General features: G+C 44.8%; 1 protein-coding gene across 20 annotated transcripts in view, besides 1 other annotated feature; it reads right to left on the bottom strand.

Annotated features, from left to right (window-relative positions):
• The window catches only part of PLEKHB2 (pleckstrin homology domain containing B2), a 44,510-nt gene that overhangs the window by 22,295 nt on the left and 2,900 nt on the right, over nucleotides 1–19,315 (bottom strand). For 11 of the 20 annotated variants that reach the window (XM_011511385.4, NM_001267065.2, XM_011511386.3 and 8 more), the window contains exons 2-4: nucleotides 6,573–6,617; nucleotides 1,646–1,798; nucleotides 765–867 (exon numbers count right to left, since the gene is read on the bottom strand). In XM_011511385.4, coding sequence (XP_011509687.1) covers nucleotides 765–867; nucleotides 1,646–1,798; nucleotides 6,573–6,609 — 293 coding nt within the window. In that variant the 5' untranslated portion in view covers nucleotides 6,610–6,617. Of the gene's footprint in view, nucleotides 1–764; nucleotides 868–1,645; nucleotides 1,799–3,883; nucleotides 3,982–6,572; nucleotides 6,618–19,315 lie in introns of all 20 variants that reach the window. The other 9 variants (XM_017004408.2, XM_017004410.2, XM_047444846.1 and 6 more) reach the window with 3 other exon arrangements.
• Nucleotides 13,062–13,651: an enhancer, noted in NCBI's record as "H3K27ac-H3K4me1 hESC enhancer chr2:131871473-131872062 (GRCh37/hg19 assembly coordinates)". NCBI's record gives its function as "activates a minimal SCP1, AML or CMV promoter by ChIP-STARR-seq in naive H9 embryonic stem cells {active_cell/tissue: H9 hESC(naive)}" and the evidence as "EXISTENCE:reporter gene assay evidence [ECO:0000049][PMID:30033119]".

Raw genomic sequence — 19,315 nt, 5'->3', positions numbered from 1 at the left:
CATGAAAAAGATATGTATAAATCCTAATCCCCAGTACCCTCAAATGGGACCTTATGTGGAAATAGGATATTTGCATATGGAATCAAATTAAGATAAGGTCATAGTGAATTAAGGTGGGTCCTTAATCCATTATGATTGGTGTCCTTTATAAGAAAAGAGAATTCTGGACACAGACACAGCCGAAGAAGGCCATGTGACAACAGAGGCAGAGACCGGAGTGATGTGGCTGTCAGCCAAAGAACACCAAGGACTACCAGCAACCACCAGAAGCTAGGAAGAGGCAAGAAAGGATCCTACCCAGCATCTCAGAGGGAGCAAGGATCTGCTGACACACTGATTCCAGACTTCCAGCCTCCAGAACTATGAGACAATGAATTTCTGCCATTTCCGTCACTCAGTGTTCAGCAATTTGTGACAGCAGCCCTAGGAACTGACAGTTTCCTTACTCTTTACTTTCTTGCTTTTCTGGTCATTTTATTTCAACTATGCCCGTTACCCACTGTGAATCTAATAATGAAAGACAGCATGATGAGACTGCTATTCCTTTCTGCCATTTTCACCACAATGGGATCGGCCTAGGCAGTCTGAGAGAGGCAGAAACTAGAATTGGAAAAGCGACTCTTGCATTTCTCTCATACATCCACTGAGTCCCTTATTCTGATGCCTGAAAGAAAACTCCACGCCCTTTCTTTTCATTTTTTGGTAATCAGAAGTTAAAATAGAAAATACTTTTTAAATTAAACACATAAGAAAGCAAAACTTACAAGCAATCATCTGTGCTTTCTGCACAAAGACTAATTGTTTTCCCATCTCGACAAACAATCTGGAGCATGCAGTCTTTTGACTTTCCATCCGGGGGCTGAGTATCTATGAAAAATAAGCAGAATAAAGGAACTTTTTTCAGGATTTCTTCTTACATTTTCTAAGAACTACCAGCTCAGAGAAGCAAAGGACTAGACAATAAATCAAGTGCTACATCTATGAAAGAACCCTCTGCCTTTCCAAGAATGCAGAAAGAACATAGCTAGGCTGACTGACAAGACCAGCTGCCAAGATGACGTCCACAAAATATATTCGGCTCACTGCAACCTCTGACTCCCGGGTTCAAGCAATTCTCTACCTCAGCCTCCTGAGTAGCCAGATTACAGGCACCTGCCACCACACCTGGCTAATTTTTTTGTATTTTTAGTAGAGTTGGGGTTTCACCATCTTGGCCAGGGTGGTCTTGAACTCCTGCCCTCGTGATCCACCCACCTCGGCCTCCCAAAGTGCTGGGATTACAGGCATGAGCCACCATGCCTGGCCAACATCCCAGATTTTAAGCAATTGACTGGAGTCACCATCAAACAGAAGCCAGTTTCTGAGTACAAAATCAACGTAGTCTAGGGTGGCCTGTGCTTCCTGAGGTTCCCAGAGCTCTGGCTCCCTCTCCACGAGAACGAGGGACGTGGACTGAGAACACTGATATTTCCCGACCATGTGGTTCATAATCTAAGTGCCTGGGGCCCCACTGTGGTCGCCCCTCTGAGATGGAGCCCTTCTTCAATCTGTTAATGAAAGCAGAACAGGGAAGGAAGAGGACCAAGCTCCCAGCAAGACAGAGGAAGAGCAGAAGACAGAAGTTGGCCAAGACAGGCCAGCTTACCCCGACATTCCTGCCCCGTGCGGATGTTGATGCAGTCCATTGGCATGTGGACCTTATCCTCGATATTCTGCCGAGTCTGGTCATCATAATAGATCAGGTGACCATCCGACCACAGATCAAACCAGTTCTTCTTCCAGCGCTTCAAAATAGTACCTGGAAAAAAAAAATAGTACGGTTGTTTTTTTTTTTTTAGAGACAGTCTTACTATTTCGCCCAAGTTGGAATGCAGTGGCTATTCACAAACATGATCATAGGTCACTGCAGCCTTGAACTCCTGGGCTCAAGCAATCCTCCCATTTCAGCCTCCCGTTTAGCTGCGACTACAGGCACATGCCACCATGCTCAGCCTTCAAAATTTAGAAATCTGAAAGGTTGGCTTTGCGCCAAAAGAGCAAGGACATAGTCCTCTAATTCACAGCAGAAACAAAAAGAACTCTTCCCCTGGCCCCTTAATTACACCTGTATAGAATTACCCAAAGCAGTCCCTCACAATGAAAGGGAAAGCAGAGCACAGGGCCCGCCAACTGGTGCTTTAACAGGCTGCATGCAGCACACACTGTCAACAGAGAATGCTGCCAACCAACTTAGAAGTTCCAACACTTTCCGGTTAGGGTTTCTATTAAAAAGCTTGCTTTTCAGCAAATGAAACATATCTAACATTTAATTCCTCATACAGTACTAAACTTTAAACCTCTCAAACTTTTCAACTTTCTAAATTTCCAAATATTGTCTAAATTGCCAGATTGATCAGAAAATGCTGGACTGTGAAGTCTCTATACGCAAATAAAAATAATATCTTTCTCTTTTGAAAAAACACATTTTGGCCAGGCACGGTGGTTCACGCGTGTAATCCCAGCACTTTGGGAGGCCGAGGCAGATGGATCACTTGAGGCCAGGAGTTCGAGACCAGCCTGGCCACGATGGTGAAATCCCATCTCTAAAAATACAAAAAATTAGCTGGGCGTGGTGGCTCGTACCTGTAATCCCAGCTACTAGGGAGGCTGAGGCAGGAGAATCGCTTGAACGCAGGAGGTGGAGGTTGCAGTGAGCCAAGATCGCACCACTGCCCTCCAACCTGGGGGACAGAGCAACACTCCGTCTCCAAAAAAAAAAAAGAAAAAACACGTTTTTTTTCTTTGTCCTTAAGAGTTTTCACAGATACTCTTTCCTACCATTTCCCACAGAAGCCCACAGTGTGGAAGGCTCCCCCCTTCCTGATGCATACACTGGATAAATGAGCACAGCAGGATATAGACCAGGCCCTGCCTGGCCTCCCATGCTGTGCACATCCTACTACCTCACGTACTTCTGTCAGCTTGAGCAAATTCAACCTTTCATTTGTGATCTTGGACCAGGTATTTAACGTGGTATATAAAACAGTAATTTCCTTTAACTTGGTATATAAAACAGTAATTTCCTTGACTGCATGAAGGGAAAACCCCTGCAGTGGACTTAAAGGCCAGTTGTAGCTCCGGTCATCTCTTTACCTTCCTCACATCCATTCACTGCCCACTACACCTTCTGTTCCTGTACATCTCATCCCATTCTTGGCCAACACACACAATCCCATTTCGTGTACTTCCCTTTATGTTGCCGTGCCTGCAACTGGTGTCAACCAGATATGCGCCATTCGGCTTTCCTGCCAGTAGTATCAGGCACTCTCCTCACCAGGAGGGGTGTCCACTGCACTTGCCTAACTGACCACTAAGTGATACCCAAGCATCCACTTGACTACCTGAGCTGTGCAGAAACTACCAAATAGGCTGGGCGCAATGGCTCATATCTGTAATTCCAGCACTTTGGGAGGCTGAAGTGGAAGGATCACCTGAGCCCAGGAGTTTGAGACCAGCCTGGACTACAAAGCAAGATCCCGTCTCTACAAAGAGAAAAATAGCCAGACATGCTAACACAAGCCAGCAGTCCCAGCTACTTGGGAGTCTGAGTCAGGAGGACCACCTGAACCTGGAAGATCAAGGCTGTAGTGAGCAGTTATCACGCCACTGCACTCCAGCCTAGGCAACAGAGCAAGACCCTGTCTTAAAAAGAAAAAAAAAAAAAAGCCAGGCACAGTGGCTCATGCCTGTAATCCTAGCACTTTGGGAGGCCGAGGGCGGGGGGCGGGGGGGGGGGTGGGGGGGGTGGACCAGGAGGTCAGAAGTTCAAGACCAGCAAGGCCAACATGGTGAAATCCCATCTCTACTAAAGATATAAAAATTAGCCTGGCATGGTGGCGCACACCTGTAATCCCAGCTACTCAGGAGGCTGAAGCAGGAAAATTGCTTGAAGCCAGGAGGCAGAGGTTGCAGTAAGTTGAGATCATGCCATTGCACTCCAGCCTGGGCGACAAAGCAAGACTCTGTCTCAAACAAACAAAAAGCCCTACTAAATAGAGCCACAGAAACACAGAGACAGGTGGAACCACTGGGTCAGGGAGTTCTGCCCAAGTATCTCACCTGCCATCAAAGCCCTGGCTGCAGACTCCCAAGTCAGGCTGTCCTCCAGAGGCCAGGACTGGGTCCCAACAGTACATGTGGCAATGGCAGGAAAATAAGTCCCAAGGCTGGCTTTGCCTACCTGTGACCACATCACATGTGTATCTCTGCTGCTCTACAACCCCGTGAATATAATGTATCTCACCTCGTTTTACTGGCATTGATACTTCTACTTTCAGGAAAGAAGGAAAATTAACCCATACATATGGGGATGGGGTTATATACAGAGTAAATCGTCTGAATACACACTTCTGAAACACCCATGGACCAGAACACTGGAAAAGTCTATGTGACTTATTTAAAGTACATCTATTTTGTGTACATCACCATGCTAGGCGTGATGGGGAGGACAAAATTGTCAAAAGAGTCACTGATCACTATGTTGACAGAGCACTTACTTCAAGTTGTGGTGGAAAAGGGAAAGCTTGCCCTCAAACAAGGGTGTGGCAAAGGACATCCAAAGGGCCAAAGGAGGGCACACCCTCAAGGTCTGAGCAAGGGTCCCCATGTCCCCTGACCATGGGGACGTTGAGACCGCAAAACCCAAGACTAGGAAACTTGGGCTAGACTTCAACAAGCCAGGACTTTCTTTGTGAAGCTAACATTACGACACCTTTGTCTATTCTAAGACTACAGGACTAACAGACAAGGGGACATACAGTTCAGCTCCAGGTTGGGAACATGGAACTAGTCACAGACACACAGGCTGAAGACCGGTCTCTGGGTGCATATAATGTCAGTGTTGAAATCACACAGTCCTGACTTTGAATGTAGGTTTGTCACCCACAGTTCACACTTAGACAAGTACCTAACCTCACTGAATCTCAATTTCTTCAACTGGAAATAATACCACTTACCTCTCATACAGCTGTTGTGAGAATTAAGAATATATACATAAAATCTATTTAACAGGAACACAAACAATTCGTAAACAATAGTTTTGATAAACCATCTCAGGTATGCCATCAATTCTTACTGGTAGACTTGACTTTAGCTAAATTTCTGAAAGTAACCCTCATAGATAAACTCAAGTCTCTGAACAATCAATGGTATGTGATACAGCTCAGTTTTTGACTAGAATCATAAATGACATGGTAGTCACTTTTCCCTTAACTTCACTCTTTCTAGTATAGCAGAATATTCTGCTTGCATTTTTTAATAAATAAGACTGGTTCTTCCCACTTTAAAACACAGTATGAGGCCGGGCGCGGTGGCTCACGCCTGTAATCCCAGCACTTTGCCTGTAATCCCAGCACTTTGGGAGGCCGAGGCGGGCAGACCACCTGAGGTCAGGAGTTCGAGACCAGGCTCAACATGGAGAAACTCCGTCTCTACTAAAAATACAAAATTAGCCAGGCATGGTGGCGTGCGCCTGTAATCCCAGCTACTCGGGAGGCTGAGGCAGGAGAATTACTTGAACCTGGGAGGCGGAGGTTGCAGTGAGCCAAGATCGCGCCTGGGCAACAAGAGCAAAATTCCATCTCAAAAAATAAATAAATAAATAAATAAAAATAAAACACAGTATGAATCCCACCTGGAGTGACAGCCTCAGAGATAAGCAGACAGTGTATGAAAGACAGGTTTGCAGAGATAAGCCTAGGAAAGTGGATCTCAATCCCATAAAAAAAGAACTGAGTCTCTTCTCTAGTCCTTTTGGAGACACAAAAGTTTTGGTTTTAGATGAACTCATTGCCTCAGATCAACTCTTCAGCCACATAATTACAAAGACTCCAATATTTGAGAATCTGAGTCACTGCTCAATCCCCAGATAAGACAGGCAGAGAGACCAGCACCTCTGTTCCAGTATCTCAGCTGGGCTCAGTTAGATCCAGGCAGTCCCAGATCCATCATTAATAATAAAGCACGCAGCTGGGCACGGTGGCTCACGCTTGTAATCCCAACACTTTGGGAACCCAGGTGGGCAGATCACCTGAGGTCGGGAGTTTGAGACCAGCCTGGCCAACAGGGAGAAACCCCTTCTCTACTAAAAATACAAAATTAGCCGGGCATGGTGGTGTGTGCCTGTGATCCCAGCTACTCGGGAGGCTGAGGCAGGAGAATCACTTGAACCCAGGAAGCGGAGGCTGCGGTGAGCCGAGATCGCGCCACTGCACTCCACAACAAGAGTGAAACTCTGCCTCAAAAAATAAATAAATAAAATAAATTAAAATTAAAAAGTAAAGCATGCTAGTGAGGAGAGCGAAAGCAGCAGGGACTGCCATCATTTCCTGGTTCCTGTCAACTCAGCAACCAAGGAGGAGCTCCGTGGTGTGCAAGACAGTTCACAGAGATCTAGGAATGTCCAAGGGGAAACTCAAGGCCATAGCACTCATAAAACTTTGTTATTTGCTTTTAAATATGATCAACTTTAAGCAAACAGAAATAGAGACTGCCCTTCGGCAATGCCGATCGCAGACCGCACATCCTGTACTCACTCTGTCGCAGCAACCAGCCACTCTTCACAAACGCCATCTCTTCACCTACAGAACAAAAACAGGCAGGTTCAAAATCATACCCAGAAAGAGAATAGCCTGTCCGGCCCGAGTCTCTATCCTTATCCCCTTCAGCATCAGCTGAGGAAGGGCCCAAGGCCATTTTAGCTCAGTGCCCCCCTGGCATTTAACAAACACCTCCTCATTGGGGTTCATGTGCCCCGCACTCTGTACCCCCTCCCTTCCTCCCACACTCGCCTTCAGCCTCACCACCCAGCCCACCTGACCGAGTCTAACACCACTCAACAAACATAAAGCAGCCCCAGGGACACAGGATTTAGCTCTGTCAAGGACATGGGGGATTCTCGTGGCTTGCTGGAGCCCTGAGGTGCCTACATTTGGCGTTCCCAGTGGGGTCCACATGGCCCAGGCAGGGGTGCTGCACTGGTGTCAGCAGTGAGTGACGTGGAGTGGCCAGGTCAGGGCAAAAAAACAAAAGTCATCAAGAAAAAGGTTCATAAAGTCAACTCCATAAAAATTTAAATCTTCTGTATGGAAAAAAAGTTAAATGAGACTTTAAAAGTGATAAATTAGAAGAAACAGTCACGGCTGGGCACGGTGGCTCAGGCCGAGGAGGGTGGATCACCTGAGGTCAGGAATTCGAGACCAGCCTGGCCAACATGGTGAAACCTCATCTCTACTAAAAATACAAAAATTGGCCGGGCGCAGCAGCTCATGCCTGTAATCCCAGCACTTTGGGAGGCCGAGGTGGGCGGATCAGGAGGTCAGGAGTTTGAGACCAGCCTGACCAACATGGTGAAACCCCGTCTCTACTAAAAATATAAAAATTAGCCAGGTGTGGTGGTCCGTGCCTAATCCCAGCTACTCAGGAGGCTGAGGCAGGAGAACTGCTTGAACCCAGGAGGCAGAGGATGCGGTGAGCCGAGATTGCACCACTGCACTCCAGCCTGGGCAACAGAGTAAGACTCTGTCTCAAAAAAAAAAAAAAAAGAAGAAGAAGAAATATTCATAACCATATGGCAGCAAGGAGCTTATTTCCTTCACTTACAAAGTTCACACATATCATACAGAAAAGGCAATAATTTAGCAGTTCACAGAAAAAAGAACACACAGAAAAAAGAACAACAAACTCGTAAAAAGACACTGAATTTCCCACTCAATTCAACAGATACAATTCCAACTGTACAGTAAACTACTGTACCTCTCAGGTGGGCACAAATGAAAACCTCCAAGACACCCAGCAAGGAGAAAGCACAATGGCAGAAAGAAAACTGATGCAACCTTTCCAAAGGGAAATTTGACAAAATCTATTGAAACTTTAATAGTTCATATACTTTGCCCCAGCAATCTCACCATGACTAGGAATTTGCCTCACTGAGATATGTGCAGAGGTTCACCAACACAGATATATATATAAACACTCGCGGCAACATCACACATACTGCAGAAGCGCGCCAACATGCCCCACGACGGAGGACTGCTGAGCGGGTACCTCCACACAGGACAGATCACCAGGCAGGCAAGGCGGAGCAGCATGTGCTGCAGGCTGCCTCCTGGGAGGAATCCTAAAACCTTTGAAAGATGTGTCTCTGGAAACAAAATGAGGCGATTCTGTGTGTGTCACAGAACAAAGAGGGTGATTGGTCCCATTACCCCTTTCTGTACTGTTTGAAACAGTTAACAACTTGCATGCTTTTTTTTTTGTGAGATGGATTCTTGCTGCGATGTCCAGGCTGGAGTGCAGTGGCGCGATCTCAGCTCACTGCAACCTCCACCTTCCACGTTCAAGCAATTTTCCTGTCTCAGCCTCCCCGAGTAGCTGGGACTACAGGAGCATGCCACCATGCCCGGCTGATTTTTGTATTTTTAGCAAAGACGGGGTTTCACCATATTGGTCAGGCTGGTCTCGAACTCCTGACCTCAGGTGACCCACCTGCCTCGGCCTCCCAAAGTGCTGGGATTACAGGCATGAGCCACCGCACCCAGGCCATTTTATTTTTTGAAATCAATAGTTATTATCTGGAAGCTGAGACCATGGGCCACTTTTGTTTTCTGCTTTAGCTTTTTTTTTTTTTTTTTTTTTTTTTTTTTTTGAGACGGAATCTTGCTCTGTCACCCAGGCTGGAGTGCAGTGGCGCAATCTCGGCTCACTGCAAGCTCCGCCTCCTGGGTTCACGCCATTCTCCTGCGTCAGCCTCCCAAGTAGCTGGGACTACAGGTGCCCGCCACCACGCCCGGCTAATTTTTTCTTGTATTTTCAGTAAAGACGGGGTTTCACCATGTTAGCCAGGATGGTCTCGATCTCCTGACCTCGTGATATGCCCACCTCGGTCTCCCAAAGTGCTGGGATTACAGGCATGAGCCACCGCGCCTGGCCTTGCTTTAGCTTTTTTAGCTATTTCTTTAAGGCACTAAGGTTGGTAAGGTTAGCACAAGCGCAAGTGGGCACCTCAGAAGAACAAATGAGTCTCTAATGTAGCTCCTTCCCCATATCTAAGCATGGTTGACTTCTCATCTTTCTCCAAACCTTTAAAAAGAGTGCCACAAGCCTCAGTCACCCCATACTCCGGCATCTCCAAAATCATGCACGCTGAAGCTTCTTGCTCTCTTTGCAGTTTTTTTCAATTCATGCTATCTGTCCTTACCAAGAAACGAAATGTTTTTCATTTTTCCCCAATCTTTCTCTACCACATTTAGGTTCTCAAACATACAATCCCCAGCAAACAAAAGCCAGTCTCCCTGTCTCTAAGATGATGTTAACAGGGAAGCACACTGCTGCTCACTGTGCTGGCAGCCACCTTCTGACCATGAGGAACCGGCTGGGGGCAGCTGACGCAGAGACAGCAGAGCTCACACTGCTGAGCCACTTACTTCACCAACCCCCAAACCCACCCTTACCCAAGACTTTCTACTAAGCAGCATGATGGGTTTATCACTTAAGATGGTTGAATTTGGTTTCCTGCAACTTACAGCCTAAAATATCCTAAAACAATCATTTTACTTCCAAAAGGATTTGAAGCAGAGAACTACCAGCATCATATTTTCATTAAATATTCTTAGAACACCTTACTTGTGTCCAGCCTTGTCCTAGACACTAAGGATACAGCAGTGACCAAGCCAAAATGCTACTCTCATGTAGCTTAGTACAGCAGAAGAAACAGGCGAAACAAAAAGGAAGGAATGTTGTAGACAGTATCACATCTGTGCAGTGGGGTTATTAACCCAGAACACAAAAAAATGAGAGGGCAAAGCACGTACGCATTCACGTCAAATCCTAGATATTTATATTCATACTACAGCTTCCTGCATCCATAATGTGAATTCCCAGTATATTTCATACAAAAAAAAATGAGAACAGGCTAAAAATTACTAGAAAAGGTACTGAGAACTACGTAGTCATGACAAATACAAAACCTGACTGAAACACAGCCATGCAACTTCGCAGGCGGTTACAGGACACAGTGAATATAAAAACGTGGAGTAACAGGAGTCTCCTGAACTTCTGTGGTCAATTTCTTTACATTTCTAATGGGTTTGTTTGTTTCTTTGTTTGTGCCATCGCCCAGGCTGGAGTGCAATGATCTCCGCTCGCTGCAGCCTCCACCTCCCAGGTTCAAGCAATTCTCCTGCCTCAGCCTCCCAAGTAGCTAGAATTACGGGCGTGTGCCATCACACCCAGCTAATTTTTTGTATTTTAAGTAGAGACAGGATTTCGCCACGTTGGCCAGGCAATCCACCCGCCTCAGCTTCTCAAAGTGCTGGGATTACAGGTGTGAGCCACCATGCCCAGCCTTCTAATGGTTCTTGATATTAATTTGGCTACATTTGCTATCTTTTTTTTTGGACGGAGTTTAGCTGTCACTCAGACTGGAGTGCAATGGCACTATCTAGGCTCACTGCAACCTCCGCCTCTGAGGTTCAAGCAATTCTCATGCCTCAGCCTCCCAAGCAGCTGCGATTACAGGTGTCACCACACCCAGCTAATTTTTATATTTTTAGTGGAGACAGGCTTTCACCATGTTGGCCAGGATGGTCTCAAACTCCTGACCTCAAGTGATCTGCCTGCTTTGGCATCCCAAAGTGCTGGGATTACAGGCATGAGCCACTGTGCCTGGCCGATAAAGAGTTAAAAGAGACTTTTAGGTAAAACCTTAAGGATCCTGAGATTTCCTGATATCTTGGAGTATTATGTACTAATTGTGTGGGTGAACATCTGATTTGCCAGATGATATGGTTTGGCTCTGTGTCCCCACCCAAAATCTCATGTGGAATTGTAATCCCCAGTGTTGGCAGAGGGGCCTGGTGGGAGGTGACTGGATCACGGTGGCAACTATCCCTGTTGCTGGTCTTGTGATAGAGTTCTCAGGAGATCTACTTGTTTATAAGTGTGTTCACTCTTTCCTACTGCCACATGAAGACATGCCTGCTTCCCCTTTGCCTTCTGCCATGATTGTAAGCTTTCTGAGGCCTCCACAGCCATGCCTCCTGTACAGTCTGCAGAACTCTTGAGTCGACTAAACCTCTTTTCTTCATAAATTACCCGGTCTCAGGTAGTTCTTTAAAGGAGTATGAGAACAGACTAATACAACGAATGTTGTGCCTATGTTTTCTCTGGTGTTTCCTTGAGGTTAGCCTGGGTTTCTCTTACTTTTCAGGCAGTTGAGTCTCAAGGGATGGCAACAAGGAGAAACTGAACAGCAGACTTGGGAAACAACTCGGGCCACTTGAGTAAGATTCAAAAAGAAAAAAGAAATGGAAATGTCTACATCTAGAGGACATTATAAACGTATCTTTCATGTGCCTATATAAAATAAAACTATTAGAGAAAGGGGAAATCAGATTATGAGACAGAAAAGAACTTAAACTGGAATTAGCAACAGAAACTCTTCACTTTTTAAAAGAGTAATTCCTCTGCTGACTCAAGTAGCTTCTTATCTTATGTCATCCTGTCTACCTCTCCTCATTCTGTGGAACAATCTCATGTACCTCCCAGAGCAGATTTTTATCTCTACCACTAGTCTCCTCTAAAACAAGCCAGTACTCTTTGAAAATGAGCTAGTTACAGTTTAGGGGCAGGATATCTTATTATCAAAAAGCACAGATGCTTTCAAGAGTGCCTTCAGAAAGCATCAAGAAGCCACTCAGCTGAAGAAAGAGAATCTAATGGCTAAATTGTGACACAAGTGTAAAATTCAAAGTAAAAATTACAGTCTATTACAACCAACTAAGGCTGAAAGGTACCCTGGGTATAAGATGATTAAAATGAGATATATTACAGTAGAATGTGTTAAAGAAAAGACATACCTTCTGGAGGGCGCAGTAGCTCACGCCTGTAATCCCGGCATTTTGGGAGACTGAGGCAGGTGGATCACGAGATCAAGAGATCGAGACCATCCTGGCCAATATGGTGAAACCCCGTCTCTACTAAAAATATTAAAAATTAGCTGGGCATGGTGGCGCATGCCTGTAGTCCCAGCTACTCGGGAGGCTGAGGCAGAAGAATCACTTGATCCCGGGAGGCGGAGACTGCAGTGAGTCAAGATCATGCCACTGCACTCTAGCCTGGCAAAAGAGCCAGACTCCATCTCAAAAAAAAAAAAAAAAAAAAAAAAAAAAAAAGACATACTTTCTGATAATGGTTTGGCTTTATTCCTACCCAAATCTCACCTTGAATTGTAATAATCCCCACATGTCAACAGTGAGGCCAGGTGGAGATAACTGAATCATGGGGACAGTTTCCCCCATACTGTTCTCATGGTAGTGAATAAGTCTCACAAGATCTGACAGTTTTATAAATGGGAGTTCCCCGCACAAGTTCTCTTGCCTGCCACCATGTAAGACATGACTTTGTTCCTCATTTGCCTTCCACCATGATTGTGAGAACTCCCCAGCCATGTGGAACTGTGAGTCAACTAAACCTCCTTCCTTTATAAATCACCCAGTCTTGGGTATATCTTTATTAGCAGCGTGAGAACAGACTAATACAGTAAACTGGTACCAGTACAGCGGAATGCTACTGAAAAGATAACTGAAAATGTGGAAGCAACTTTGGAAACAGGTAAAAGGCAGAGGTTGGAACAGTTTGGAGGGCTCAGAAGAAGACAGAAAGATGTGGGAAAGTTTGGAACTTCCTAGAGACTTGCTGAGTGGCTTTGACCAAAATGCTGATAGTGATATGGACAATAAGGTCCAGGCTGCACTGGTCTCAGATGGAGATGAGGAACTAGTTGGGAACTGGAGTAAAGGTCACTATTGTTATGTAAAGAGACTGGTGGTATTTTGTCCCTGTCCTAGAGATCTGTGGAAGTTTGAACTTGAGAGAGATGATTTAGGGTATCTAGTAAAAGAAATTTCTAAGCAGCAAAGCCTTCAAGAAGAAGCAGAGCATAAAAGTTTGGAAAATTTGCCAACTGATGATGCAACAGAAAAGAAAAACCCATTTTCTGGGGAGAAATTCAAGCCTGCTGCAGAAATTTGCATAAGTAACAAGAAGTCCAATGTTAATCACCAAGACAATGGGCAAAATGTCTCCAGGGCAGGGATGGGCCATGGCTCACGCCTGTAATCCCAGCACTTTGGGAGGCTGAGGAGGGTGGATCACGAGGTCAGGAGATGGAGACCATCCTGGCTAACACGATGAAACCCCGTCTCTACTAAAAATACAAAAATTAGCCGGGCGTGGGGGCGGGCGCCTGTAGTCCCAGCTACTCGGGAGGCTGAGGCAGGAGAATGGTGCGAACCCAGGAGGCGGAGCTTGCAGTGAGCTGAGATCACGCCACTGCACTCCAGCCTGGGCCACTCCCTCCTGAAATGCAACTAAAATGAGAGTTAAGGAGAAAACAAGGCATAAATCCACAGAGAACAGCAGCAGACAAAAGCAGACGAGACACAACATTTTGAAAGTTCTAAGACAAACAGACAAGTGTCAACTAACATAAAATATGGCCACCTCTACTTTGTTATGTGCTAACAGAAGCCAAAACACAGCAAGCCAACTCCTGCCACATAAAAACAGACTCAGAAATTGGGGGTAAGAGAGAATTCTAGAGGTGGGGAGAAATCAGAAGAATTAATGGAAAGTCTTCAAAGGGGTCACTAGGCACCCTACCCAAGCAGACAGGGACCCTCCCTGATCCTGAAGATGATGCCTCTGGAGACTGGGCGTGGCCACACTACACACAGCTTAAAGTCGCAGGCCACACTTAGAAGAATATAGTCCGTGAAAGTCAAATTCTCCATCTTCTTCCTTACTTCTCAGACTCTAGCTCAGAGCAAAGGCATAGTCCCAAGAGGAAAGGCTCACTGATACTGACAACTGGGTGTTCTGTAATGAAAAAGCCAAACTTTGCCTAACACCCTCCAGAGAAGCTCACCAAGAGACAGACTTGAAGCAAACACACAGACTTCCAATCAGCTTTTCAGTACCTCTCTTAAATAGGAATACAGAGCAAGTATCATCAGTCTGAGTAGAAAAAAATACTGTTTTTCCTCTGCTCTCACGTCACAACAATCAACATAGAAGACTTCTGTGACCAAATGTGTGAGGGTTTCTCCCCACATACCAAGCAAGAAATCAATTATGCAGCAGGCCCATGCACAGTGTTGCGCATCTGTAATCCCAACATTTTAGGAGGAGAAGGTCAGGGGACCACTTGAGCTCAGGAGTTTGAGACTAGCCTAGGCAACATGGTGAAACCTCATCCATACAAAAATCAGCGGGGCATGGTGGCACACACCTGTAGTCCCAGCTACTGGGGGGCTGAGGTAAGAGGACCACTTGAGCCTGGGATGGGGAGGTTGCAGTGAGCCGTGATCACACCACTACATTCCAACCTGGGCAGGAGTGAGACCCGGTCTCAAAAAAAAAAAAAAATTCTTCAGCGAACACCAACTAGGTGTCCTGCAATTCAACTGTCACACTATCTACCTGGAGATAGCATCAGATCCCACAGGTTGAGGGCTCAGTCCCACAAGACTGCCCACCCTTCAGACACCAGCCACAAGTCAGGGCCTCTGGAACATGTGATCAACTAGCTTTAAGTCAGTGAGAAAGAAAAGTAGCTCAGAGCAATCTGAAGAACATAAAGCCGGCAAAATTTAGAAAATGGGTCTTTAGTTACCACAGCCCCAGCCACGCTCAGGGTTAACTGTTTAAAGGGACTTGGGGTTTTTTTAATCTTCCCTTTCCTGTAGTTTCCAGACAAGCTGATAAATTACCAAGACTGTTACTACAAGTTACACAATGTGACCCTCAATCATTTTCTTCATGTTCCTGGAATGTGTGGTACAAAGAACAATATACAGCCAACCAATAGTTTATGTTCAACTTAGAAACTGCCCCTATTTTTGCCCTTTAAAATCCCACTTCTAACTGTTGCTACTCAAAGCATATATTCAGAGCAACTTGAATCTATGCTTCCCAGGTTGCTGTCCTCAAATCTGGCCTAAATAAACTCTCTATTTATAGTAATTTTTGCTTTAGTTTCTTTCTTTAGGTCTATTAGAATTCCCCCATCTCCCTGTGTTTGATTAATTTGCTAGAGCAGCTCACAAAATTCAGGTAAACAATGACTTATATTTACCAGTTTATTATAAAGGGTATTACAAAGGACACAGATGAAGAGATGTATAGGGCAAGGTGTTAGTGTTCAGGCCTCTCCAGGCACACCACCCTCCCTCCAGGAACCTCCAGGTGTTCGGCTATTCTGGAGGCTCCCCAAACCCAATCCTTTTGGGTTTTTATGGAGGCCTCATTACATTAGCATGATTGATTAAACCAACAGCCACTGGTGATCAACATCACCTTGAACCCCTCTCTCCTTCCTGGAAGGTTGGGGGGCAGACATGAAAGTTCCAACCCTCTAAAGTCGCATAGGTGTTTCAGATGACCAGCTCCCATCCTGAAGGGAGTCTGCAGGCCATCAATCAATCATTAGCATACAAAAAGACATCATTTTGGAGATTTTTAAGGATTGTATTAAATAGGAGTTGTAAGGCAGGAAATGAGGTCAAAGACAAAATAAACATTTCACAGTACCACAATCAGACACTGGAGAAAAATCTAGACCATAAAAGATAGAGATTAAAGAAAATAAAATTTTCAAGAAAAAAACCTCAAGAATCAGAGACAATGCTGGGTACAAAAGAAAACTTTAAAAATATTACTTTACAGCTGGCCACAGTGGCTCACGCCTATAATCCCAACACTTTAGGAGGCCGAGGAGAGTAGATCACTTGAGGTCAGGAGTTCGAGACCAGCCTGGCCAACATGGTGAAACCCCGTCTCTACTAAAAATACAAAAATTAGTTGGGCGTGGTGGCAGGCTCCTGTAGTCCCAGCTACTCAGGAGGCTGAGGCAGGAGAATGGCGTGAACCCGGGAGGCGGAGCTTGCAGTGAGCCGAGATAGTGCCACTGCACTCCAGCCTGGGTGACTGGAGTGAGACTCCATCTCAAAAAAAAAAAAAACAAGAATAAAAAGAAATATTCAGAGCTCTCAATTAAAAATAATAACCAAAATTAAAAATTCAATACAAGAGTTGGAAAGATCAAGATGGAAGAAATCTCTCTGAAATGAAGAGCTAAAAAAAAAAAAAAAAAAGACCAAGAGATGGAAAAAAATTAGAGGATGAGCCTGGAATATAAAATATTCTGCTGGCTGGGCACAGTGGCTCATACCTGTTAATCACAGCACTTTGGGAGGCTGAGGTGGGTAGATCACTTGGGGTCAGGAGTTCAAGACGAGCCTGGCCAGTATGGTGAAACCCCATCTCTACTAAAAATACAAAAATTAGCCAGGCATGGTGGCACGCACTTGTAGTCCCAGCTACTGAGCAGGCTGAGGCAGGAGAATCACTTGAACCCGGGAGACGGAGGTTGCAGTGAGCTGAGATCCCACCACTGCATTCCAGCCTGGGCATCACAGCGAGACTCCGTCTCAAAAAAAAAAATTCTGCTTATAGGAGAATTTCATAAATAAACCACAGAGAAAAGAGCAGAGAAATAATACTATAAAACCATTTCCTGCAACAGGATAACACATTTCTAGATTCAAAAGATCCAATGACTGTCCAGCATGATGAATTTTAAAAGATTCTCCATAGGTAGGATGACTGAAATTTCATAACATCAAGGACAAAGAAGAGAACCTAAAAACTTCCCAAAGAAAAAAGCATATATAAAGGATCAACAATCAGCAAGACACAGGACATCTAGAGCAATACCTTCAAAATGCTAACGGAAAATTATTTCCAAGCCAGAATTCCACACCCAGTCAAATCATTAATCAAGGCCAGGCATGGTGGCTCTTGAGCATAATCCCAACACTTTGGGAAGCCAAGGTGGGAGAATCGCTTCAGCCCAGGAGTTTGAGACCAACCCAGCAACACAGTGAGACATTCTCAACAAAAAAATAAGAAGTTAGCTGCACATAGTGGTGCACGCCTGTAGTCCCACCTACTCGGGAGACTGAGGTAGGAAGATCGCTTGAGCCCAGAAGGTAGAAGCACAGTAAGCCATGAATGATCATGTCACTGCACTCCAGCCTGGGCGACAGAGTAGGATTCGGTCTTCAACTGGCAGGGGAGGAAATTCCCAGAAAGGCAGCTGTGCAGAAGGACTGGGGAGGAAAAAAAAAAAAAAAAACAGTCCAGACTGGAGCAGGACCGAGTACTACAGGGGAGGAAAAAAAGTAACTGACAAATTTCCTACAAGTTTTTGACTCACTGGTGGATTGAAGAGTTTTACAAGGCAGCAAAAGTCTTCTATGATCAAAAGTCAAAAGATTACATGTAAATCAATAGCAATTTTACCATATCCACAAAGATAAAATACTATTTTTTTTTTTTGAGACGGAGTCTCACTCTGTCACCCAGGCTGGAGGGCAGTGGCGCGATCTCAGCTCTCTGCAACCTCCACCTCCCAGGTTCATGCCATTCTCCTGCCTCAGCCTCCCGAATAGCTGGGACTACAGGCAACCGCCACCACACCCAGGTAATTTTTTTGTATTTTTAGTAGAGACAGGGTTTCACCGTGTCAGCCAGGATGGTCTCGATCTCCTGACCTCATGATCCACTTGCCTTGGCATCCCAAAGTGCTGGAATTACAGGTGTGAGCCACCACACCCAGCCAAAATACTATTTTAAAAAGTGCCAAAAAAAGGTGAAAATAGTTGTCTATAGTTTAAAAAGGGGGTGGACAAGAGATTGATATATTTTTTTTTATTCTAAGGTTTAAAGCACTATTTGGTTGTTTTTTTTGTTTGTTTGTTTTGAGACAGAGTTTCGCTCTTGTTGCCCAGGCTGGAGTATAGTGGCGCGATCTTGGCTCACTGCACCCATCGCCTTCCAGGTTCAAGCGATTCTCCTGCCTCAGCCTCCCAAGTAGCTGGGATTACAGGCGCCCACCACCACGCACAGCTGATTTTTGTACTTTTAGTACAGACGGGATTTTACCACGTTGGTCAGGCTGGTCTCAAACTCCTGACCTCAGGGGATCCACCCGCCTCAGCCTCCAAAAGTGCTGGCCTCCAAAAGCTTGAGCCACCACGCTCAGCCTATTTGGTCTTTCAATCTATGTACATGTATTATTTTGATAAATGTAAACATGTAAACAATAACCTGAATTATCTTCAACTATACCAAAACAAAAAAACCAACCTAAATTAATCTACCTATTTGAACCTTCCAACAGTGCTCTGCTTTCGTTTTTAAATTGGGGAGAGAAATTTAGAGAGTATCTTTAGAAACCAAAAATCATGAAGTATGATTTTGATCACATTTTGTTTTGTTTTTGTAGAGACGAGGTTTCACTATGTTGCCCAAGCTGGTCTCGAACTCCTGGGCTCAAGGGATTCTTCCATCTCAGCCTCCCAAAGTTCTGGGATTACAGGTATGAGCCACTGCAGTCAGCCTATCATATGCTTTTGAAATTTCACAGAACCCAGTGTTTGGGTATAAGCTTTAGAGTTAAAAGACCTATGTTCAGATCCTGACTCAATCGGACAAGTCACGTTTCCAAGCCTGATCTATAAAACGAAAATTCCCACCACCTACTTGACAGGATGTTCGGAAAATTGGGTGAAATAATATGTAAGTAGTTGGCATGGTGCCTCACAGTTACTAGAACTCGATAAATGGTAGCTGCTTTGACAGCAATTATTACTATTTACTACTATTATTACTATTACTTATTTTCCCCCTTACCAAAATTTGCCGAAAATATTCTAGAACAAGCTTGTCCAACTCATGGCCCCAGCCCAGGTCAGCTTTGAATGCAGCCCAACACAAATTTGTAAACTTTCTTAAAACGTTATGAGATTTTTTTGCAATTTTATTTTTTAGTGCATCAGCTATCATTAGGGTTAGTGTATTTTATGTATGGCCTTCTTCCAATGTGGCCCAAGAAAGTCTAAAGATTGGACAGCCCTGTTCTAAGAACAAGGACATCAAGCTGCTTCTCAAATGGCTCAGAAGACTTCTGTTTGATTGCCTTAGCATGCTGAATTTCACACCACTCCATAACTTAATTCAACATTTCACTATTTATATCCTGGAGCAAAACTGAATGCATAAACTAAAACTCATCAGATAAACACTAAGCCCTAGCTGTTGGTCTCTAGAGAATAAAACACCAGCAAACTAGCTGCAAAAGAACATTATTTTTATGCCAATAAAACCTATGCAAAGCTTTAAAATGTAAGCCATATTCAACAATTTAAATTATTTT

Source organism: Homo sapiens, chromosome 2 (assembly GCF_000001405.40).
Source record: "Homo sapiens chromosome 2, GRCh38.p14 Primary Assembly".
Taxonomy (NCBI): domain Eukaryota; kingdom Metazoa; phylum Chordata; class Mammalia; order Primates; family Hominidae; genus Homo; species Homo sapiens.
Note: the sequence above shows the minus strand (reverse complement) of the source record. Positions and strands in the feature narration are given on the sequence as shown.